This window comes from Homo sapiens, chromosome 1 (assembly GCF_000001405.40).
Source record: "Homo sapiens chromosome 1, GRCh38.p14 Primary Assembly".
NCBI lineage: Eukaryota > Metazoa > Chordata > Mammalia > Primates > Hominidae > Homo > Homo sapiens.
This window is the reverse complement of record NC_000001.11, coordinates 34,529,027-34,553,593: the sequence shown is the minus strand read 5'-3', so window position 1 is coordinate 34,553,593 and position 24,567 is coordinate 34,529,027. Positions and strand designations below refer to the sequence as shown.

The window sequence follows — 24,567 nt, the reverse complement described above, 5'->3', positions numbered from 1 at the left end:
GGGGAGGAGTCCCTTTTCCTCAATTTTTGGAATAGTTTCAGTAGGAATGGTACCAGCTCTTCTTTGTACATCTGGTAGAATTCTGTGAATCCATCTGGTCCTGGGATTTTTTTGGTTGATAGGTTTTTTAAAATTACTGATTCCATTTTGGAGCTCATTATTGGTCTGTTCAGGGATTCAGTTTCTTTCTGCTTCAGTCTTGGGAGGATGTATGTGTCCAGGAATTTATCAGTTTCTTCTAGGTTTTAATAGCTCATGTGCGTTGAGGTGTTCACAGTATTCTCTGATGGTTATTTGTATTTCTGTGGGTCAATGATAATATCCCTTTTGTCGTTTCTAATTGTGTTTATTTGGATCTTCTCTCTTTTTCTTTATTAGTCTAGCTATTTGTCTGTCTTAATTTTTTCAGAATACTGGCTCGTGGATTCTTTGATCTTTTGAATGGGTTTTCATGTGTCAATCTCCTTCAGTTCAGCTCTGATTTTGGTTATTTCTTGTCTTCTGTAGCTTTGCAGTTGGTTTGTTCTTGTTTCTCTAGTTCTTTTAGTTGTGATGTTAGGTTGTTAATTTTAGATCTTTTTAACTTTTTAATGTGACTGTTTAGTGCTATAAATTTCCCTCTTAACACTGCCTTAGCCATGCCCCAGAAATTCTGGTATGTTGTATTTTTGTTCTCATTAGTTTCAGAGAATTTCTTGAATTCTGCCTTTATTTCTTTATTTACCCAAAAGTCATCCAGGAGCATGTTGTTTAGTTTCCATGTAATTGTATGGTTTTGAACGATTTTTTTTTGATGGAATTTCACTCTTGTTGCCCAGGCTGGAGTACAACGGCACCGTCTTGGCTCACCGCAACTTCTGCCTCATGGGTTCAAGCGATTCTCCTGCCTCAGCCTCCTGAGTAGCTGAGATTACAGGCATGCACCACCACGCCTGGCTAATTTTGTATTTTTAGTAGAGACGGGGTTTCTCCATGTTGGTCAGGCTAGTCTCAAACTCCTGACCTCAGGTAATTCGCCCACCTCGCTCTCCCAAAGTGCTGGGATTACAGGCGTGAGCCACCTCACCCAGCCAAATGATTTTCTTAATCTCAATTTCCAATTATATTGTTCATACCATTCGGGGTCTGAGAGAGTGGTTGGTATGATTTTGGTTTTTTGCATTTGCTGAGGATTGTTTAGTGTCCAATTGTGTGATCCATTTTACAGTATATACCATGTGGCAATGAGAAGAATGCATATTCTGTTGTTTTGGGGTGTAGAGTTTGGTAGATATCTATTAGGTCCATTTGGTCCAGTGTTGAATTCAGCTCTGGAATATCTTTGTTAATTTTCTGCCTTAATGATCTAATACTGACAGTGGGGTGTTGAGGTCTCCCACTATTATTGTGTGGGAGTCTAAGTCTCTTTGAAGGTCTTTAAAAACATGCTTTATGAATCTGGGTGCTCCTGTGTTGGGTGCATATATATTTAGGATAGTTATGTCTTCTTGTTGAATTGAACCCTTTAACATTATGTAATACCCTTCTTTGTCTTTTTAAATTTTCGTTGGTTTAAAGTCTGTTTTGTCTGAAATTAGGATTGCAACCTCTTTGTTTTTCTGTTTTCATTTGCTTGGTAGATTTTTCTCCATCCTTTTATTTTGAGCCTATGGGTGTCATTGCATGTGAGATGGGTCTCTTGAAGATAGCATACCATTGGGTCTTGCTTCCTTATTCAGCTTGCCTTTCTGTGCCTTTTAATTGGGACATTTAGGCCATTTATAATACATTCAAGGTTAGTATTGATATGTGTGGATTTGATCCTGTCATCGTGTTGTTAGGTTGTTATTATGCTGACTTGTTTGTGTGGTTGCTTTATAGTGTCACTGGTCTGTGTACTTAAGTGTGTTTTTGTAGTGGATGATAATGATCTTTCCATACTTAGTGCTTCTTTCAGGAGCTCTTGTAAGGCAGATCATGTAATAAATTCCTTCACCATTTGCTTGTCTGAAAGGATCTTCTTTCTCCTTCACTTATGCAGCTTAATTTGGCTGGATAGAAAATTCTTGGTTGGAATTCTTTTCTTTAAGAATGTTGAATATAGGCCCCAATCTCTTCTGGCTTGTAGGATTTCTGCTGAGACGTCTGCTGTTACTCTGATGGACTTACCTTTGTAGGTGACCTGTTCTTTCTCCCTAACTACCTTTAACGTTTTTTTCTTTCATTTTGACCTTGGAGAATTTGACGATTATGTGTCTTGGGACAATATTTTGTGAAGTATTTTGTAGGAGTTCTCTGTTTTCCTGAATTTCAATGTTAGCTTCTCTAGCTATATTGGGGAAGTTCTCATGGATGGTATCCTAAACTATGTTTTCCAAGTTGCGTCCATTTTCCCCATCTCTTTCAGGGATGTCAAATGAGTCATAGATTCAGTCTCTTTATATAATTCCATATTTCACTGAGGTTTTGTTGTTTCTTTTCATTCTTTCTTCTGGTCTGACTGTCTTATTTCAGAAAGTCAGTCTTCAAACCCTGAGATTCTTTCCTCAGCTTGGTTTATTCTACTATTAATGCTTGCAATTGCATTATGAAATTCTCATAGTGTGTTTTTCAGCTCTATCAGGTCAGTTATGTTCTTTTCTATACTATTTTGTCAGCTCCACATCTTTTTATTGTGACTTTTAGCTTCCTTAGATGAGTTTCAACATTCTCCTGGATCTCAGTGATCTTCATTCCTATTCCTATTCTGAATTCTATTTGTATCACTTCAGCCATCTCATCCTGGTTAAGAACTCTTCCTGGAGAAATAGTGCAATCATTTGGAGGAAAAAAGGCACTTTGACTTTTTTGAATTGTCAGAGTTCTTGCACTGGTTCATTCTCATCTTTGTGAGGGTGATGTTCCTTCAGTCTTTACATTTTCTGTCCTTTGGATTTTTTTTTTCTTTTATTCCATTTGGTGACCCTTGTGGTATAAGGTGGGTTCAGTTGACTGGCTTCATGTTTGAAAGATTTTAGGGGGGCAAGGCTCAGTTTGGGACTCCTGGACTGAACTGGGGAACTAGTATCAGACCCCCACTTTGTTCTCTGGCTCCTCAAGGTTAGGAACCTGCTGTGCGGGAAGGGATGAGTTACTCCTGGACCACTGGTCACAACACTCCGATGGGTAGTGCCAGCCAAACCTACACCGTACTTTGTAGGGTGGTGGCAGAGGTATCTGTCCATGTTCACTACATGTCATTAGTAACAGCAGCTGCAGCACTGTGGGTTGTATGCTTGTTGACTGCAGCAGGGTGCTAGTGGGTTCCGGGGTGCCAACCTCCATGTGGGTGTTTGCAGCAGTGGCTGGCATTGACAGCACTGGCTTGGGAAAACGCCCCTCCCCATAACTGTGGGTGTGTGAACCAGCAGTGATGTTAGTGCAGGGGTGGGGCACTGGTTGGTGCAGGACTGTGTGCACACTCTGTGTGTGTTCCCATGGGCAGGAGTGGCCACTCAGGGAAGGGCTAGGTCTGCTTTTCTTCATGTCTAGTTTCATGCTGGTGATAATTTCAGCACAGGAGTGGGCCCTGGCAGGAGCGGGGCTGGTGGGCTCTGTCCCCGACAATGTTCTAACTACAGTGGTGGTTCAGCAGCGGGGAGAAGGGTGGGATGCACATACACAGGCAGCAGTGGCATGGCAGGGTGCCCCTCCACACATGCTGGAGGGGGAGGAAAGGCAAAGTATGCCTGCACACACACCCACCCACAGAGTAATTTGTGGGTTAGCCATGGGTGAGTGCATGTGGGCAAAGGGGCATGAAGGCAGGCTGCAGTGGGGGGTGAGCTGGTGCCTGTCCACTGAGATGGCTCTGTTGGAGTACTGTGCCCATCAGACACAGTCCACCAGCACAGGAGCTATGATGTGGGCTCCCAGGAGGTGCCTTGGGGCCACACTGCAAGCAGGTGCAGCCAGGCTGGTGTGCCTGAGAGAAGACAGCAGATTGAGAGGTGCTCAGGTAGGATGGGCCCCCTCTCATAGGCAAGACCACCATGCAGAGTTCAGGTCCTATGGTTCCCCTAGGGCTAAAGTCTCCTATAGGAGTGAGTTGAACCTAGGGAGATGGGCGACCGTGGCTGTGCTCCACTACAGATGCTCCCACACCAAGCACTCGGTTTCTGCTCTGGCTGGAGTTCTGCTCCTACCACTTCTCTGAGCAGCTCCCCCTGCCGGTTCAAGTGTCCACAGTGGTCAAGGGATCTCCTGCTGGGATTCCAGAAGCCCGTGGAGAGAGTGAGTTGCTCCTTGTCTATTTAGCTCCCACCTTCCCCAGGAGTCACCAGGAGCCAGAAATGAGTTCTGGTGCATAGTAGCCCCATGCAGGGGTTTCCTCCCACTTCAGCCAAGCATCTGCATCCTCCCTCCATTTGTTCTCAGTGTCTTCCCTCTGAAGACTTGCTAGGAGTGTGCCAGTATTCCCAATGCCCTGTCCCTCAGTGGGAGATGCTTGTCCTGGCTGCATCTACTCAGCCATCGGGCACTCTCTCCCTACCTAGTTTAGAATAATAAATATTTACGTAAGACTTTGAAGGGAAGGCAGCATTCTTATTTCTCCTGGTTCCTTCTTCCCCAAAGCAACCATTTTCAGATCTTCTAGTTGTTTCTTCCAGTATTAACTCCATATTTTTAAGAAACATGTTTATTCTACTGTTTTTTAAAATTACTTATCATTTATTAATGACCTTCTATGTAAGAAGAGGATTATAGCTCTCTTATCCCCCACAAACACATATCCTCTTATCCTCTCAATATGAATATAACATCATTTTGGGGACAATATTAGTATTCAGTATTTAAATTATTATGATTATATTATTTTCAAGTTGAGTTACTTGGTGTGCCATGATTATATTAATATTTCCTCTATTGTACAACTTTGTTGCTTTCCTTGGGTTTTTTCATTGCCCTGATTTGTCACTTCCTTGGTTTTGTATGTATCTATTGCTATTTCATGCCTGAGCTCTCTGGAAGAATTATAATTGTCTTTCAAATATGTTGACATCTATCAAATTATGTATTGGTTTAATTCTTTCCTTGGTTCTCCTGCTCTAACATGGTCTGCCATTCATCTGTCATTCTGGAACTTCTCTTCATCATTAAATCAGGAATTCCCTTGGCCCTCTCCTGTATTAAATTCCTGTTTGCTGGATTCTGGACATCCACTTTCTTGATTTACTCTCTTATCTTGGTGGGGAATATCCTTCAGTAGCTTTCTGCATAAGGATTCACAGGAAGCAATATTTTGAGATCTTGTACAGGAGGGATGATTTTCTATTATATTCTCACACTTGATTAATAGTTTGACTGAATATAAAATTGTAAAATGGTAATCATCCCCCATTCCCCTCAGGACTTTGAAGTATTTCTTCATTGCTTCCTCCTTTCAGTGTTGATGCTGAGAAGTCTGATGCTTTTCTGATCCTTGATTCTTTGAATATCAGTGAGTAGGGGACGTTTTCCATCCATCGTTCTGGCACTTGGTGGCCGTTTCAATCTAGAAACTCATGTCATAGTTTGTTACTTCAATAATTTTCCCCTTTGATTTCTCTCTTTCTGGAACTCCTGCTATTCAAATAAATACTGGCTGTTATACTGGTGTTATATGTAATCTTACACTTTCTTCCGTTTTCCATCTCTTTGAGTTGGGTGCTTCTCTCTGAAGATCTTCTTAACTTATTTTTACAGTCATCTTATTGAGTTGTTTATTTCTGTTACAATATTTTTAATTTTTAAGAGCTTTCTGTTAATATTTATTTTTAAATAGTTATGTATTCTTGTTTAAGGATATAATATTCCCCCTGTATCTCTGGGAATATTAATTATTTGGTTGTTTTTTTCCTTTGTACATTGCTTCTATTTCCTCTGATTTTTTTTTCTGTTTTCTTTCCATGATACTGTGGTTCCTCAAACATCTGGCGACACTGATTACCTTTCATATTTGAGAAGGAGGCACTGAAATGCTCAATGGGAGCTCCATGTGTGCAGGCTTATGGACTGGTGAGTTTCTGTAAGATGATCAAACAGGACCAAACTGTTCAAGTAGGAGCCTCTAAGATCTCTTCTCTTAGATTGGTCAGTTGCTGCCCTCTCCAGCCCCAGGGCCAGCCATACCCTGCCCTCCCTGCCCCTTCCCCTACCCAAGTACACAGGCTGCCCTCCAGCCATGCTCCCACTCCTACTTGACCCCTGGAAGTGAGCAGCTGCAAGCTTCTGTGTGGATATTTGCCAGGAATGCCTTTTCTCTCTTTTCAACTCTTACTTACGTAACAGGGCTCTGTTGCAATCACTTCTTTTGCCTCCACACTTGTTCCCCTGCTCCCAATTCCAGGGCAGATCAGCCTCTCCTTTTTGTCTGTCCTCACAGCACCTAGTGGCTCTCCATGGGAATCACACTCTGCAATAGCACGATTTCCTGCTTGTCTCCCATACTAACTAACCTTCAAGCCTTTTAAGGAGCTTTGTTATTCTATTATCTGGTCCTGGTCTGGCCCATTCCTTTACAGTGGTGATACTTTAGCATCTTGGAGTAATACAGAGAGAAAAGAGGCACCGTGGAAGAAATCAAGGAAGTTTTATGGATCTGCCATCATCACAGGCATCTAAGCCCCACTCTAAGTGCTACATTGTGACCAAGACTCAAAAGTTTTAACACCCCACAAAACTTTCCTCACCCCACACTCTCCTAGTATCCTCCAGTATGGTCAGCAGATATACTCTTATCACTATCTACCATGCCCCATGACCAGTGTGAACTTATTCTCTGGAAAAACAGGAGGAAAATACCCACTAGAGGGGTCAAAGAGGAGACCTTTGACCTCTCTCTGAAAATATCTGTCTGTGGAGGTGTCAACAGGTCAGCAGAAAGTCCTAGATGGACTTGGGTTCTCCCAGAGTCTTTTCATTTGGACTTCTTGTATATCCATCAACAGATCAAGAAAATGTCAACACCACAAGAATACATATTCACTAGAGCAGGGATGGCAATTATATTTCACCTCCATTGTAGCTCCCCCTGATGACTGGTGGCTGCCTCAAGTGCTTGTTATGGGTTCTGAGGCCTTCTCCAGGCTCAGAGTGAAAGAGTCCTGTGATCAATTAATGATGTCTGCCACTGGCAGTTATTCACTATCCCAGAACCAGAGGAAAGATGAAAGTAAAATGTTCTAAGACAGTGTTTCCCAAACTTGGCTTATGATAAGAATTACCCGGAGGTACTTGTTAAAAATAGATTCCAGATTCTTCATCAGGAGATTCGAATCCAAGGGGTCTGGAGTGAGGTCTTTAAATCTGTACCTAGCAAGCACCTACATGAGTCATAGAATCAAGCAAGTCTGGAAACATTATTCTAAGGGAGGGTGGGTTTCCAGGACTCCCTACTTAAGAGAAGGAAATGCAGAAAGATGGAATATCAGAACCCAACCCTGGGGGAAGAAAGGGAAAAATGGCAAACTCAGGCAGGCAGGACTCCAGGCCCCTACACTTTCGTGAGGGCTTTGTATAAACTCTGAAGTCCTAGCTGGAGTCCCATGAACATATCAGTGTTGGAGAATGATCAAATCACTGAGTTTTAGAAATACACTTCTCAGTATCTTGTTTAACTTTCACTTGTCCACACTCAGATCCCTGTGTCTTGCTTCTGCCACATCTGGTTTAAGATGATCTAGAGAGGCCTCAGAGGAATGGTACATGTAACCATATGAAGAAGTCACAAAGGTCTGTATTTGTCAGTCAGAAAACCAAAGGCTGAGAAGGAATGGGATCTCTCCTGTGCAGCATGAATGTCTTCTGAGTAGTCTCACCACATCCCTGACATGAAGGATCCCATGAAAATCAGTTAGTTTAGACACATTTTAATAAATCCCATCTCATCAGTGGGGTTCAGTTCCTGAAACTAGTCCCCCTATCTTAATAAAATAAGAGCTCCTATAAATAGGCATAACAAATGTAGACCAAAATCCCAACATCAGCACTGTGTGCTTATGCTTTTATGTAAGGAGATGGTGGGTCTTGGATACATATTCAATGGAGAATCTATACATATATCATGTAACAAAAACTGGATAGCTAACATGAACTGAGCACTTACTCTGCACCACAAACTATCTTAAGGCTTGTCTTAGTCAATTTTCTGTTTCTATAACTGAGTACCTGAGACTAGGTAATTTATAAAGAAAAAAATTATTTCTTATAGCGCTAGAGGCTGGAAAATCCAAGGTCTAGGGGCTGCATGGGTGTGGAACTTCTTGCTAGTTAGGACTCTCTGTAGAGTCCCAAGGCAGCTCAGGGCATCTCATGGTGAGGGGGCAGAGCATGCTAGCCCAGATCTCTCTTTCTCTTCTTATAAAGCCTCTGGTTCAATCATGGGGGCCCTACCATAATGACCTTATCTGATTCTAATTACCTTTCAAAGGCCTCACCTCCAAATGCCATCAACATATGAATTCGAATATTAAGTTTCCAACACATGAAATTTGGGAAACACATACAAACCATAGCAAGCTTTTTTATGTATACATTTATTTTTTCCTCTCTAAAACCCACAAGGAAAGTACCATTATTTTACCTATTTTATATCTATGAAATTGACACACAGAGTTTATAGGTAATTCCCAAGATCACATAGCTGATATATGCCCATATTAGTTATCTATTGCTACATAATAAGTTACCCTCAAACTTAGCAATTTAAAATAACACCATGTATCTCAGTCTGTGCTGCTCAGAAATCTAGGTGTGGCTAGGTGGGTTCTCTAACTCAGGGTTTTTCACAAAGCTGCAAAGTGTCTTCAGAGACTGCAGTCATTTTAAGGCTTGATTGGAGAAGCATCTACTTCCAAGCTCATTTACTGGCAATTGGTAGGATTCAGTCCCTTGGGCTTATTTGATGGAGGGTCTGTCTGTTTCTTGCCATGTCAGCCTTTCTGTAGGACATGGCAGTTGGTTTCCACTACAGTGAATAAAAGAGCAATTAAGGAAGAGAGAGCAAGATGGCTGCTAAGATATCTTTCTGCAACTCAATATTGGGAGTGACATCCCATCAAGGTTGCTATATTCTTTTCATTAGAAGAAAGTCCTTAGGTCCAACCCACATTCAAGGGGAGGGGATTATATAAAGGCATGAATACCAGGTGGCTGGGATCACTGGAGGCCATTTTAGAAGCTGCCTACAACAGTAGCAACGATCTAGACAATGAGGCTCCAGAGCTGCCCTCCTAATGCCAAGAAGCACGAGAATGATAAATGCAGAATTCAGGAATATGGTTATTCCCACTGAGGGAAGGAAGAAGATGGGATGTAAGAGAAGCATACAGGTGGATGCAACAATACTGATAATATTCTAGTTTTTAAATGGATATTCACTTTATTATCATGCTGTATAATTCACATGTAGGTTATGTGAAATCTTTTGGATGCACCAAATATTATATGATAATTTAAAAACATTATCTGCTTATTTTATTTGTGAAAAGTGACAAGAACAAATGTTAACTCTGAAGAATGAAGAATATTTATGTGCTTAGATTGGTGATATGCAACAGGACTGCATATAAGAAATAACTGGGGAACATTTAAAATATAATAGATTGTATTTTTTAGAGTAGTTCAAGGTTTATGGAAAAACTGGGTAGAAAGTATAAAGAATTCCCATATCCCCTCTTCCCACCCCCAGTTTTCCCTATTATTAACATCTTGCATTAGTGTGGTACATTTGTGACAATTGGTGAGCCAATATTTACACATTATTAATAGCTAAGTCTGTAATTTAGATTAGGGTTCACTCTTTATGTTGTGCATTCTATGAATCTTGATAAATGTTTAATGGCATATGTCTACCACTATAGTACCATACAAAATACTTTCCCTGCCTTAAAATTTCTTAGGCTCCACCTATTCATTCCTCCCTCCTCCCAAACTCCTGGAAACCACTGATCTTTTTACTGTCTCCATGGTTTTGCCTTTTCCAGAATATTATTTACAGTAGTTGGAATCATACATTGTGGAAACATTTTTAGATTGGCTTCTTTCACTTATTAATATGCACTTAAGGTTTGTCCATGTCTTTACATGGCTTCGTAGCTCACTTATTTTTAATCACTGAAAAATATTCCATTGAATGGATATGACATAGTTTGTTTATCCATTCAGGTATTGAAAGACATCTTGGTTGTCTCCAAGTTTTTGGAATTATGAATAAGGTTCTATAAACATTTGTGTGTGCAGGTTTTTGTGTGGACATGTTTTCAACTTATGTGGGTGAATACCAAGGGACATGATCGTTGGATCATATGGTAAAAGTATAGCTAGTTTTGTAAGAAACTGCCAAACTGTTTTCCAATGTGGTTGTATTATTTTGCATTCCCACCAGCAATAAATGAGAGTTCCTGTTGCTCCTCATCCTTGTCAACATTTGATATATTATCGCTTTGTTTTAATTTGCAATTCCCCAATGATATGTGATAATGAACAGCTTATTTATCACTTATATATCTTCTTTGGTGAGGTGTCTATTCAGATTGTTTGCCCATTTTTTAATTGGGGTAGTTCTTTCCTCATTGTTGAGTTTTAAATGTTCTTTGCATATTTTACACGCAATTACTTTATCAGATATGTGTTTTGCAAATGTTTTCACCCAGTCTGTGGCTTATCTTTTCAGTCTCTTAACAGTGTCTTTTGTCAATTAGAAGTTTTTAACTTTAGTGAAGTCCAACTGATCTTTTTTTTTTTTCTTTCAATGATTATACTGTTTTGTTGTACCTAAATGGTCATTGTGAAGCCCAAGGTCATCTAGTCTTTCTCCTATGTTATTTTCCAGGTGTTTTATAGTTTTGTCTTTTACATTTAGGTCTGTGTTTCATTTTGAGTTAACTTTTGTGAAAGATATAAGATCTGTGTCAAAATTCAGCTTTTTGCATGTGGATATCCAGTTGTTCAGGCATCATTTGTTGAGAAGACTGTCTTTTCTCCATTGAGTTGCCTTTGCTTCTTTGTTAAAGATCAGTTGACTGTGTTTAGGTGGATCTATCTGTTCTGTTCCATTAGTCTGTCTAGTCGTTCACCAATACCACATTGTCTTGATCACTATTGCTTTATAGTAAGTCTTTAAGTTAAGTAGTGTCAGTCCTCTGCTTTATTTTTCTCCTTCAATATTGTTTTGGTTATCTTGGGTCTTTTGGCTCCCTTTAGAATCAGTCCATTGATATCTGCAAAATAACTTGCTGGGGTTTTCATTGGGATTGTGTTGAATCTATAGATTAAGTTGGGAAGAGCTGACACTTTAACAATATTGAGTCTTCTTACCCATGAACCATGATAATTTTTAATAGCTTTATGGAGACTTAATTGATACACCATAAAATTAACCCATTTAGGTTATAGAATTCAATGTTTTTTGTACATTGAATGAAGTATGTTGATAAGTTTGCACAACCATCACTACTATCTAATTTTAGAATATATTTGTATCCCCAAATAAACTCCATGCACATTAGTAGTCTCTCCTTATATGTCCCTGCCTCCTACTCCAGTCTTAGGTAACCACTAACATACTTTTTGTGTCTATCGATTTTCCTATTCTGGACATTTCTGGACATTTTATATAAATGAACATTTTATATAAATACAATATATGGTCTTTGTGACTTGCTTCTTTCTTTTTTTTGAAACATTGTTATGTGTTCAAGGTTCATCCATATTGTGGCACATATTGGTACGTTCTTTCTTTTTAATTAGAATAATGTTTTACTGTATAGATATACCACATTTTATTTATCCATTCACCAGTTGATGAACATTTGTATTGTTTCTACTTTTTGGCTATTATAAATAATGCTACTATGAACATTTTTGTACAAGTGTTTGTATGAATGTATGTTTTCATTTCTCTTAGGTATATGCATAGGAGCGAAATTACTGAATAACTTACGTGAAACATTTTGACGAACTGTCATATTGTTACCCAAAGTGATTGCACTGTTTTACAAATCATATTGGCAAGGTAGGAGGGTTCTAATTTCTCCTCATCCTCACCAGCACTCGTTATTGCTTGTCTTTTGAAATTACAGCCATCCTAATCGTTGTAAGGCGGTATCTCATTGTGATTGATGGCAATCCATCTTAACAATGTTAAGCCTTTCAATCCATGAACATGGATGTCTTTCAATTTGTTTAGATATTCTTTAATTTCTTTCAACACTATTTTATAGTTTTCAGTGTACAAATCATGCAATTCTTTTGTTAAATTTATTCCTGAGTATTTTTTTGATGCTATTGTAAATGAGTTTGTTTTCTTAACTTTATTTTCAGGACGTTTATTGCCTGTGTATGGAAAGAAAACTTATTTTTAAATATTGATCTTGTATCTTCGCTGAACTTATTTAATTTTAATTTTTTTTAGTGAATTCTTCTGGATTTTCTATCTACAAGACTGTGTCATCTGAAATAGAGATAGTTTGACTTCTTTCTTTCCAATGTACTTACCTTTCCCCCCAATTTTCTTGCCTATTTATTCTGGCTAAAACTTTAGAATCCTAGTAGAATGTTGAATAAAAATGGCAAAAGTGGACGTCCTTGTTTTCTTCTTGATATTAGGGGAAAAATACTCGGATTTTCACCATTAAATGTACTGTGAACTGTGTTTTTTTCTTACACGTCTTTTGTCATGTTGAGGAGGCTTTCTTCTCATAATTTGTTGAGTATTTTTAATTTGAAAGGGCATTGAATTCTTTCAAATTCTTTTTCTGCATTTTTGAAATGATAATTTCTTGTCCCTTTTTCTATTAATATGGTATATGACCTGAATTGATTTTCAAATATTAAATCAACTTGCATTCTTGGAATAAATCCCATTCAATCATAGTGTATAATCCTTTTCATATGCTGTTGCAGTTTATTAATATTTTGTTAAGGATTTATGTAAGTATATTAATGAGAGATATTAGTCTATAGTTTTCTTTTGTGTGTTTTTTTTTATTTTTAATATCAGGGTAATACTGGCTTCACAGAATTAGTTGGGAAGTAGTCTTCTTCTATTTTTGGGAAGATTTTAGGAAGCACTGGTATTGCTTCTTCTTTGAATGTTTGGTAGAATTCACCAGTGAAATCTTTTATGCCTGGGCTTTTCTTCATGAAAAGTTTTAAAACTATTAATTCAGTTTCTTTACTTGTTACAGGTGTTTTCATATTTTCTATTTCTTCTTGGATAAGTTTTGGTAATTTATGTCTTTCTACACATTTCACCTAATTCATCTAATTTGTTGGCATTTAATTGTTTATAGGATTCTTTTATATATATATATTTATTTCTGTAAGGTTGGTAGTGATGTCCTCTCTTTCATTCCTGATTTTCATAATTTGAGCCTTCCTTCCCCCCTCCCATTTTTTTTTTGGTAACATTAGCTAAAATTTTATCAATTTTGTTGATCTTTTCAAAGAACTAACTTTTTTCTTTATTGTTTTCTATTCTTTATTCCATTTTTTAAATCTAATCTTTCTTGTTTCCTTCTTTCTGCTTGTTTGGGTTTAGTTTGTTTTTATTTTCTGGTTTCTTGAGGTGAAAGTTTATTGATTTGAGATCTTTCATATTTTTAAAGTTTAGGCATTTTCAGCTATAGATTTTCCTCTGACCACTACTTTAGCTGCATTTTATAAGTTTTGGTATGTTGTGTATTTGTTTTTATTTATCTCGAAGAATTTTTAAATTTTCCTTGTGATTTCTTCTTTGCCCACAGGTGATTTTGCTAGTGTGTTGTTTAATTTCCACATATTTGTGAAGTTCCCAAATTTTCTTCTATTATTGATTTCTAATTTGATTCCCCTGTGGTCAGAAAACATATTTTACTTTGTATAATTCCAATCCTTTTAAATTTATTGAGGCTTATTTTTTGGCTTACTTTGAGGTATATCCTGAATAATGTTCCAATGTGTGCTTGAGAAGAATGTGTATTCTGCTGCCATAATGCGGAGTGTTCTACAGATGTCTTTTAGGTCTAGTTGGCTTATAGTATTGTTCAAGTCTGCTATTTCCTTCTAGCTCTTTTGCCTAGTCATTCCATCCATTACTGAAAGTTGAGAGTATTGAAGTCTCCAACCATTATTGTTGAATTGCCTATTTCAATTCTGTCAGTTTTTGCTTTATGTATTTCGGATGGGACTCTGTTGTTAGATGCATACATATTTATAATTGTTATATCTCTCAGATGGAGAGACTCTTGCCAATATAAAATATTCTTCTTTAGTAACAGGGAAACTTTTTTCTACAAGTAAGCTAGGGCTGGGGCTGGGGCCCCAGTAGTCTTGGCCTGCTGTGCTTAGTGTAGAGCTTCTGTCCTATGAATGGGTCTGGGTGGGGGAAGGGAGGCTGGTCTTCTCTGCAGTGTCAACCATAATAGAAATTCTGCAACATGGGGCTAGAGATTAGAAAGGCCAGTGGTCAGCCCCTGCCAGGGTGAAATCCTAGTCCCAGACTGGCAGCTGAGGGGAGTGGGAGCCTTCTTCTTGGCCACACCAGTTTGGGGTAGAGCTTCTGTAATATGGATCTGGGTATGAGGTTGTCGGGGGACAGGGAAGGGGATGGGTTTTGGCTCAGATGCCATAGACTCTCACTGTTCTTACGAAGATTAGGTAGATTTTCCTGAATGACTATTTCCCCCTTTGCCTTATACTCTTAGGGCAATTTCCAGATTATTTCTAAAATACAATTTTCACCAAATTTTTGTTTCTTTGGGAGAAAGTCTGCCAAGATTTTTACCCTGCCTCTCTGAAAGTTCAGCCCTCCATGACAAATTTTTAAAAGAATAAATAGGACTAGGTTGAGTCTGTTTAGTTTGAATACCACTTAAACCTCCTGACTGTTGAGGTTGCCATTTCCAGAAATGACTAAAAACAAGACATAGACCTTGGCAGTACCAAATTTTAAAGAAGTAAGATTTGGCTGCTGAGTGGCCACATATTTGCCTTTTACTTCTCTGAGAGATCAATCTCATTACTCAGCAACTCAAAATTATGGCAGCAATAAAAGCACAGTTGCATTTGTGTGAAGGACTAACCCAGCTCAGTGCTTTGGATTGCTTATGAGCTCTGTGGGCAAATGCCAAGGCAAGAGTCTGATTAGCAAGAGACCACAGATTTTTTTTTTTTGAATTCTAATTATGTAGTTAAAAGGGAAAGTAGAACTTTGTATAAATAAATAAAGAACTGCCATTCTCAAACTGGGTGATGCTTGTCAGAAGAAGATGTAGTGGTGGGCTGATGTAGGCTGGGGAGGTCTCAGATCCAGAGGTTAGACATGCTTACTGGGCAAAGGTATTTGAATGTGTATTATTAGAAGGCCAAAGGCATCCCACCAGCCAGGCAAGGAGATGCTGGGAGAGAAGAATGATGAGTAGTCTTGGCAGGTGGTCAGCTCCAGGGACATCCAGCTGTTTCCTATTCTTCACAGCCCTAGGAGAATGGAGACTGAGGCATGAGCCAGATCCCATTGTTGATGGGGCACAAAGTCAGAATAGGACCCAGCACCAGGCTGGCAAGGATGAATCATGAACAATAAGCTAGAGGAATCTTCAATTCTCCCAAGTACCTAATGATTGGATCTAGAGCTTGAGGTGAGAGCTGATTAGCTATAGCTATAAGCATTCAAGACCCTTAGTGGAAGAGAATTATATGGAAGAATGCAGCTCTCTTTACTGGACAACTCAGATAATAATAATCATGATAGTAATAGTGGTAGTGTCAGCAGCAGCAAACACTTATATAGCACTTACAATGTGACAGTCTCTCTTCTTGACATATATTTCATCTTTACAAAAAGTAAATCTAGCATCACCTCCATTTTAGAGATGAGAAATCTAGACACAGAAAATATGTAAGCATCAGCATGTACTGGAGCCAGGGTTCAAGTCCAGGTAATCTGGCTTCGTGGTCCATGTCTTAACCCCTGCACACTACCACATCAGATGTCTAGGAATCTATTTTCTCATCCTTAGATAGGAAGAACAATAGATACCTTCTCAGACTGTAGGTGGGAGTAAATGAATGTGGAAGCACATGTAAGCTAAGAATTACAGCCTTTATGCTTGTTGTTGTTTATAATACCCCCAGCCATCCCTCAAATACGATCCCTTTTGCCAGCTTTTTGTAATAATTGAAAATGAGCTGGAGATGGAAGGCTTCACCTCTAGTAATGTTTTATTGCTTAAGATGGGTAGGGCACACAGGTATTCATTGCATTATTCTTTATAGCTTTTTGTATACCTCAAATATTTCATAATAAGCTAAAAAACCAAAATGAGTATATGCCAGGGTGGGGTAAGGAGAGTGGCATCAGAATACATAACCCTAGCATGGTCTTAATGCCAACTTTGTTGACTTGACACTATGGCTCTTGGGCCACTCTAGTTTTCTAGACACCATCTGGAAACATCTGGAAAGAAAACAAACATTTCAGGCAGGGAGATTTTTACACTGGGAAAAGGGAGCCGAGAAGGAGAGGACAGAAAAGTAAGAGAAAAACTAGCCAGAGTATTATGTGCTAGAAAAAGCCGAGGGAAGAGGGCAGAGAAAGGCTTTCAAGAGGCTGAGCACGACGAGAAGCAGGGAAAGGCCACTTAATGAAGCAAGTAGAAAGCCCCTAGTGATCTTCCAGAGAGCAGCTTCAGAGTCTGTCAATAATTCACCTCTTTCTACAGTAGGATTGATATATTTTATCCACAGATAATTGATATATTTTATATATGTTATATATATAAATATACATCCACAGATAATTTACATATAATATAATATATAAAATATATTATTCAATTGGTTCAGTAAAGGATAGATCCCAAGGAAAAATTGGCACCAAGGATAAAAGAGGAACTATTAATAAAACATGATCATAACAAAATTTAGCTTAGCCTCTTGGAATTCCAGGCAAAAAGTGAAATACAGAAGCTGTAAAGCTCAGATAATTAGAATGAAAGCCACAAGCCTGTTCCTCAAGATATGCATTTTTTCCCCATCTAGAGTTGGCCTTTGATACCTCAGGATGCTTGAAAGTAGAAAAGGGTAGTTTAAATTGCCCTTAAAAAAGGGAACCCCTCCAAAAATGGATCAAAGTTAGAATGCATCTTAAAAAATAAAATATTATTAAAATAAGTTTATTTTATTTCACACTTAAAATTGAAGTTGTATATGTAACTATCTGCCCACTCTTTGGATGAATAGGGTGAACCAACTGCTGAATTTTTTTGGTAGAATTTTTCCAACAAAAGTATATAATAGAATGAAATAACATTCTCAAATTCATGTTTGACTTTGGCAGCATGATCATAAAAAGGGTGTTTTTTTTTCCAAAACTCTTTGAACACTCTATCAATTTTCTCAAGAGCGTCTCTTATTCCTTTGATATTCAAACCATTCTCTTTCAAAGTCTTCACAGTATCATCGCCCTTGCTGTTTTCTCCTCTTGAGTTGTTAACTGCTCGAACTCTCCCAAATACTGATTTGTCAAAGCCTTTGCATGTGACGCCAGCAGTCCTTCCCCTTCACTTTCATAGATTTTATGAAATCCTGCCCCCCCATTTTTTGGCGATATTTTCAATTATACTTTTGCAATCAACTTGCATTGTATTCCCAGGGTATTGATCATCTGTCAACCAGTGAGACACTGAGCAATGAAGACGTTGATGGGACAGGAAGGAATAGACCCTAGTGGGAGTGTGGGAGGGATGTGAAAGACTGAGGACTCATGTCCTAAGTGGCGACCTCTGCTGCCCTAGATGACCTAGTCATGGCAGGGGTTCAGGTAATGAATGCCTAAATAAGAGCAACCCCTGTACTAAACTCTTAAAGTGTTTCTCACATGGCTCCTTACAAAGATGACCACCAAGGTAAAGAAGCAGTAAACAGGCCGGGCACAGTGGCTCATGCCTGTAATCCCAGCACTTTGGGAGGCCAAGGAGGGTGGACCACGAGGTCAGGAGTTTGAGACCAACCTGACCAACATGGTGAAACCCCCGTCTCTACTAAAAATACAAAAGTTAGCCAGGTGTGGTGGTGCACGCCTGTAGTCCCAGCTATTTGGGGGGCTGAGGCAGGGGAATTGCTTGAACCGGAGAGGCGGAGGTTGCAGTGAGCTGAGATTGCACCACTGCACTCCAGCCTAGGCAACAGAGCAAGACTCTGTCTCCAGAAAAAAAAAAAAAAGCAGTAAACAATATCAATATGCTTAACAGCAGGTGTACAGCAAAATTGGTGCACATTTTATATGGCTGTTTCTCATCACCACTGCTGAAAAAAGTTGGGGCAGAATGTCCAAACACAGTTTAGTGGAGGTGATTCTGTGAGGGGCTGACCTTAATATGGTCCAACATGTAGTCTCCCTGTATTAGTTATCTACTGCTGTGTAACAAATGACTCCCAACTTATCGACTTAAAACAACAGACATTTATTATCTCATAGTTTCTGTGGGTCAGAAATCCAGGAGCAGTTTAGCTGCAGGTCAGCCAGGGCTGCAGTCATCTGAACATTGCCTAAGTCTGGAGGATTTATTTCCAAGCTCATTCATGTGTCAGTTGGCAGAAAGTTTTAGTTCTTGCTATGTGGGTCTTACCCTAGGGCTTCTGATGACATGACTTCCTCCAGATGGAGTGATCCAAGGGAGAGAGAGGGGAAGCAACCAAGACAGAAGACAGTGACTTTTATAACTTGACCTTAGAAGTGACATACCATCATTTCAGCAGTATTCTATCAGTCACCTGGTACAATGTGGGAGGTGACTGCAGAAGGGTGTGAATTCCAGGAGGTGATAGTCATCTTTGGTGGGAGGCAATCTTGGAAACTGACTACTGCACTGCCCCTGGGTTGATTGGCCATGAGGTAGAGACAGTTTTAATATTGGAGCAAATAACTGGGAAGAGGCAAGAGGTTGAGAGAAGGGGAAAGGGAGGGAATACATGGAAAGAACTCATGGAGTAAGGGGTGTGGAGGCTGCGGCAGGGCTGCCCCAGACAGTTGGGCTAGTTGCGCACTGCACTATTTTAGGAGGTTCCATTTACACAGACAATATATTAGGTGCCCTGAGTGAAGACAAGCACAGCATCTTCCTGGCAGAAATTTGACATGGAAAGGGCTTCACTATATTCACTTCTTCATCATACAGAAATGACCCAGATGTTTCTGGAAGCTGGGTTTGTGGAGCTCATTCTTTGTGTTGGTCAGGTGGGAGGTGGCCACTTACAGTGAGGGGGTCTAACTGGCATCTGTGAACTCTTGGCTCTGGTGTGATGCTCCTTTCTTCTGCTGAAGGAGCCAATGGAAGTGAGTATTATGGGGGTGTCACAGGAAATCTGGCTGCACTTGGGGACGGCAACATGACTCGCTAAGGAGGAATAGTGAGGCAGAGCTGCTGCTTCTCTTTTTAGCGTCTGCAGTTCCATTTACACCTCTGTCAAAAAGAGTTGACAGAGACACGATGACTCTGGAATGAAGCCCCAGAGAATATCAAGCCAGAGACGGGAAGCCAGAGAATATCAAGTTATATTTCTGTAACCATCAATGACTTGCTGTATTGCTCTGTGTGACGGGCTGAAATGTGTCCCCCCAAGATTCATATGTTGAAGTCCTAACCCCAGTGTCTCAGAACGTGACTTTATTTGGAGACAAAGGCTTTAGAGAGGCAATAAGGTAAAATGAGGTCATTAGAGTGGGTCCTAATCCAATATCACTGGTTTCCCTGTAAGAGGAGATTAGGATGCAGACACCTATGGAGGGAAGACTTTGTGAGGACACAGGGAGAAGACAGTCATCTGGAAGCCAAGAAGAGGGGGGCCTCAGTAGAAACCAATCATACCAACACCTTGATCTTGGACTTCTGGGCTCCAGAATTGTGAGAAAATAAATTTCTATCGTTTAAGCCACTCATCCTATAGTACTCTTATGGCAGCCCAGCAAACTATTATACCCTGGACAAGTCTTTACCCTCTATGTGTTCTGGTCTTGCAGTGCTTACGGAGATGGTACCTCATTGGTATGGTGTGTGCACATAATGGATATCATGATGAATATTGCACATATGGCTGCTGCTAACACACGTGGTGCTTTTGTGTAAATTAAAAAAAGATGCCCTGGCCGGACGCGGTGGCTCACACCTGTAATCCCAGCACTTTGGGAGGCCGAGGCGGGTGGATCATGAGGTCAGGAGATGGAGACCATCCTGGCTAACACAGTGAAACCCCGTCTCTACTAAAAAAAACAAAAACAAAACAAAAAAATTAGCTGGGTATGGTGGCGGGCGCCTGTAGTCCCAGCTACTCAGGAGGCTGAGGCAGGAGAATGGTGTGAACTCGGGAGGCGGAGCTTGCAGTGAGCCAAGATCTCGCCACTGCACTCCAGCCTGAGCGACAGAGCAAGTCTCCGTCTCCAAAAAAAAAAAAAAAAAAAAAAAAAAGAAAGAAAGATGCCCTTCTCCCAGGTGGCTGCAGTTTTGCCCTGGTATGCTTGGCTTGGTGAGGTAAGCATGGGCTAGATTCCAGTGCTCCTTGCCCCTAGACTAGGCACGCTTTTGCTGGGCACAACCTGCATGTCCTCACATGGTGACTGTGCCAATGCAAGGAGCTCTGGATGCCCAGGAAAGAGGGTGGGACACTAGCTCTGACTGGAGCAGCCATTCATGCCACTGTTCTCAAGGAGAAAGGCTGAGATGACATCCCTTTCTCCTCATTGCCCTTTCCTAGAACAAACTCAGTGAAAAACTTCAGCAAATGATGCATTAAACTTTTAAATTTACAGCACACTTAGCAAGTCTACTATACCTTACTAAGATAACACACCAAAAGGTTGGAGAGAGCTCCTTTTAAACATTTTATGAATTCATGGCTCTGTACTCACTGCCTCATTCTCATTCTCAACTACTGATACTTACAAACCCAGAAATTTACATATTCATGTATATAGAAATACCACCTAGCTCTATATATAAATACATTTTAATATCACTTTGAGGAAATTTGTAGACCTGGCTACCTTGCCACAGGTTAATGAATATTTGTTTAGATGAAACTGGCTCTTCCTTGCCAAATTTCCTCCTCCTAAGCCAAAAGCTCAGGAGATGCCATAATTCTCTTCCCTTTACATGGCACCATCAAGGTAGCTCAGGAGAGCTGGAGAAGCTCAGGAAGTGGAGTCAAGCAGCCTGAACTGGGAGTTGGTGTGGTCATGGGTGGCTGGGGCAAAGTGCTAAGATAGATCTGTGCCCTTCTCCCCGAGACTTTCTGTAGCTGAGGGTGCTGCTTATGGCTTACAGCTGCTGACACCTGCAGCTCTGTTCCTGGGACTTTCCCCAGAACTACGGGAGGCCACTTTGCAAGTACTGGAGGAGCAATAACCCCTGGGAGCAGCCTTCAACCAATGATTGGTGGGGCTTGTATATAAAACACCCCTGCATCTCTGCTGGGTGTGTGTACCTGTGATCGTTTTGAGGCATGTGTTTTACAGCATTTTCCAGAGTTTCCTCATGGGATTATGCAGCGGTCCCTCACTGTGGGAGCTGGCTTAATAACACACAAATGTTGGTTGCTTGCCTTTTCCTGTGTCACTTTCTCATTCCTCTACTGGTGTTTCTGGGGCCTCTCAAAATAAATTATTAGTACTTAAATTCTGTCTCAGGGTTGGCTTCTGGGAGAATCTAAACTCTATCCCCCTCCATATTATAAAAGACTCTGCTTCAAACTTTAGATAGAGTCAGCTAATTGCTCTGACCCAAAGAGCCTGGCCAGAGGGTCCCTGCTGCTAATTTGCTGCTGTAGGGTACATTTATGGCTCACAGCCTGAAACACATCCTGTGTGTTTTACCTACTATGTCTGTAATATCCTATGGACTGGATATTATTATCCCATTTATAAATTCTTGAGGTTAATAGAGGAGTCAAGTTTAGGAAGTGGAGGGATGGAAAAGCAATTCACAGCCATTGCATACCTATTAAAATCTAGATCAAGCTTATCCAACCTGCAGCCCAGGACAGCTTTGAATGTGGCCCAAAATAAATTCATAAACTTTCTTAGAACATTATGAAATTTTTTTTTGCATTTTTTTTTTAGCTCATCAGCTATCATTAGTGTTGGTGTATTTTATGGTGGCCCAAGACAATTCTTCTTTCAATGTAGCCCAGGGAAGCCAAAAGATTGGACACGCCTGCTCTAGGTGCTTTATATACTTAAAATAAAAACTTAATTTTGAAAGAATAGGAAAGTTGCAAAAATAGGATAAAGCATTTTTGTGTATTTCTTACCTCACTTTCATCTTACAAAAACACATCGTTGGTGTACATACATTTATTTCCTAGCTCTGTCTGATGAAAGCAATGATGCTACAAGCAATGACACCTCAGTAGCAATAAGCATGTCCAGCACCCCAATCTTGGTCTCTAAACAACGTTCTCCATTAAACGGAACCAGGGTTCCTAGGGGAAATAGCTGATTCCAGGGCTGAGAATGGAAAATACAAGATGAGCTTGGAATATCTGGAGGCTTGTCAAAAGAACAGAGGAGCCAGCCTGCTGGAGCTCCTAATGGCTGAAGCTGAAATAACTTGAGAAGCAAAATAATAATGTTGGTATTGGACTTTAAGCCAGATAATAAGCACATACACTAAAATTTTAGACTTTTTACAACCCCATGAATAGATATTATTATCCTCATTTTATAAATTCTTGAGGTAATGGAGGAGTCAAGATTCAAATCTAGGTTCAAATAGGAACAAAGCTCCACTGTGCAACACGACGTCCCCGTTGTGGGAGGGCAAAGAGTCTCTTCAGGCATTAAAGCTTTCACTTCTGCTTTGAGTTGAGCAACATGCAAACCTTTACCCATGCGAGAGTGGGTTCTATTTTCTTTCTCCACCTTTCCATCTTTCCAGCAAACCTTTAATTCCTACTGTCCTCACACTGACCTCACAGAGTCACTCTTTTGTTTACTCTACCAGCTTAAATCAGAGGTCACTTGGCAAGAGTTTTACAATAATCCCCCTTTTTAAAGTCTACTGATGTTCCAGTTGTTTTAGAGCAACTCTTCCATTCTCATCTATAACTCAGATACAGTCTCAGGTCCTATCTGGGGAATTCTAGGGGATGGGAGGGAGTTAAAATAAGAAGTAGAGAGGGCAGTGGGGTGGAAACTTGACATCCCATTCTTAATCACCGCTCTGTGCCTTGATGCCTTCCTGATAGCATGTGTACTGATTCCTTATTTGTTCACATTTCCTGGGGGGTGGTGAAGAGAGCTAAATACTCCCACACGACTATAAAAATAACGAAGGTGATGAATGGCCCCAAACAGCAAGGAAGGGAAGAAAAGCATTCCTTTCCCGCTTTTCCTGGGCTGTAGATAAATCACATCTGTCGTGGCTGGGGCTGTGGAGCTCTAGCTGTGATGTGGTTGGGGTGGCTAGCTGCCAGACCCTCCTCCCCTTCCAGCAAGGAGGCTGACTCTGCTGGCTAATTTCGAAAAGAAAAAAGGAAGCAGGGGTCCGTTCCTCTTAATAGCTCAAGGCCCCGAGTCTCTGGGGCCTCAGGGCCTTCACCTCCACACTGGTGCTGCTTCCTTGTGGACAGCAGAGCCAACCTGTGTGCTCAGGGCATGCCTGTCCTTTGCTGCACCTGCAGCTGACTGCTTAGATGGGTTGAATGCAGACTGGCCCAGAGGCAGAGGGATGCGTGAGATAACCTCTGACAGGCTCCTTCCTGTCACAAGTTTGGATCACAAGATGGGTTTGGAGTTCTGACCCAGAATCAGTCAGTGATAAAGCTTTGCCATTTTAGAACTATAAAGGGAAGTGGTGGGCCAAAACCTGGGAGTCACCCTTGACTCTTCCTTCCTTCCCATTTCCTACGTCCCATAGGATTCCCTATCTTAACAATTTGATCTCTTTAACATCTTCTGCTTGTGCCTCTCTCTTCCCAGGGCCCTTGCCTTAAGGCAGCCCCCTCCTCTCTGCCTGAATTGATGTCAGGACTTTCTGGTGGTCTCCTGTCTCCACTCACATCCTCTCTAGTTTACATTCTACAAACAGCCAGAGCAAGCACTCATCTCAGTACACATCTCCCCCAGTTAAAACCTTTCTATGGCTCCCGTTGTCATGAAGAAAAAAATCCACATTCAACTGCATGGTGTGCACGGTCTTGCATGACCAGGCCCCTGCTTCTCTCTCCCCGTTTGTCTCTCATTGCTCTTCAGCAACTCTGATCTCTGAGACAGCTGAATCTCCCTATGAGTCCCTAAATAAGACTTGCTTTTTCTTGCCTTCAGTAGGTGCTCGAACATGTTCCTATTTATTGTGAGAGCTTCAGCTGCAGCGTTACTTCCTCTAGGAAGCGTTTCTAAGGCTAGCTTAAAGAGGTCTTCCTCTGCTGTCACAAGGAAGCCTCCTGACATTATCCATCTTGCAATCTCATCAGACTCCTTAATAATAAGGTTCGTCCAGACGCTATTCTAGCACATGAGCTGACTAATTGAATGCTCATACCCATCTTCTGTTTAGCATCTTCGTTTTACAGATGATGACGCTGAGGTACAAA

The 24,567-nt window shown here is 40.5% G+C and overlaps 1 long non-coding RNA gene across 3 annotated transcripts in view, besides 2 other annotated features; it reads left to right on the top strand.

Moving 5' to 3' along the window:
• LOC105378641 (uncharacterized) overlaps window positions 1–24,567 on the top strand; it is a 227,461-nt gene that overhangs the window by 131,726 nt on the left and 71,168 nt on the right. Inside the window, exons 5-6 of one of the 3 annotated variants that reach the window (XR_001737965.2) lie at window positions 5,962–6,015; window positions 11,906–12,093. This is a non-coding gene — a long non-coding RNA (uncharacterized LOC105378641). Of the gene's footprint in view, window positions 1–5,961; window positions 6,016–11,905; window positions 12,094–24,567 lie in introns of those variants that run through there. The other 2 variants (XR_001737964.2, XR_001737966.2) reach the window with 2 other exon arrangements.
• Window positions 3,641–4,141: an enhancer, noted in NCBI's record as "H3K4me1 hESC enhancer chr1:35015054-35015554 (GRCh37/hg19 assembly coordinates)". NCBI's record gives its function as "activates a minimal SCP1, AML or CMV promoter by ChIP-STARR-seq in naive H9 embryonic stem cells {active_cell/tissue: H9 hESC(naive)}" and the evidence as "EXISTENCE:reporter gene assay evidence [ECO:0000049][PMID:30033119]".
• Window positions 22,886–23,055: an enhancer, noted in NCBI's record as "active region_715". NCBI's record gives its function as "activates an Ori minimal core promoter by ATAC-STARR-seq in GM12878 lymphoblastoid cells {active_cell/tissue: GM12878}" and the evidence as "EXISTENCE:reporter gene assay evidence [ECO:0000049][PMID:35858748]".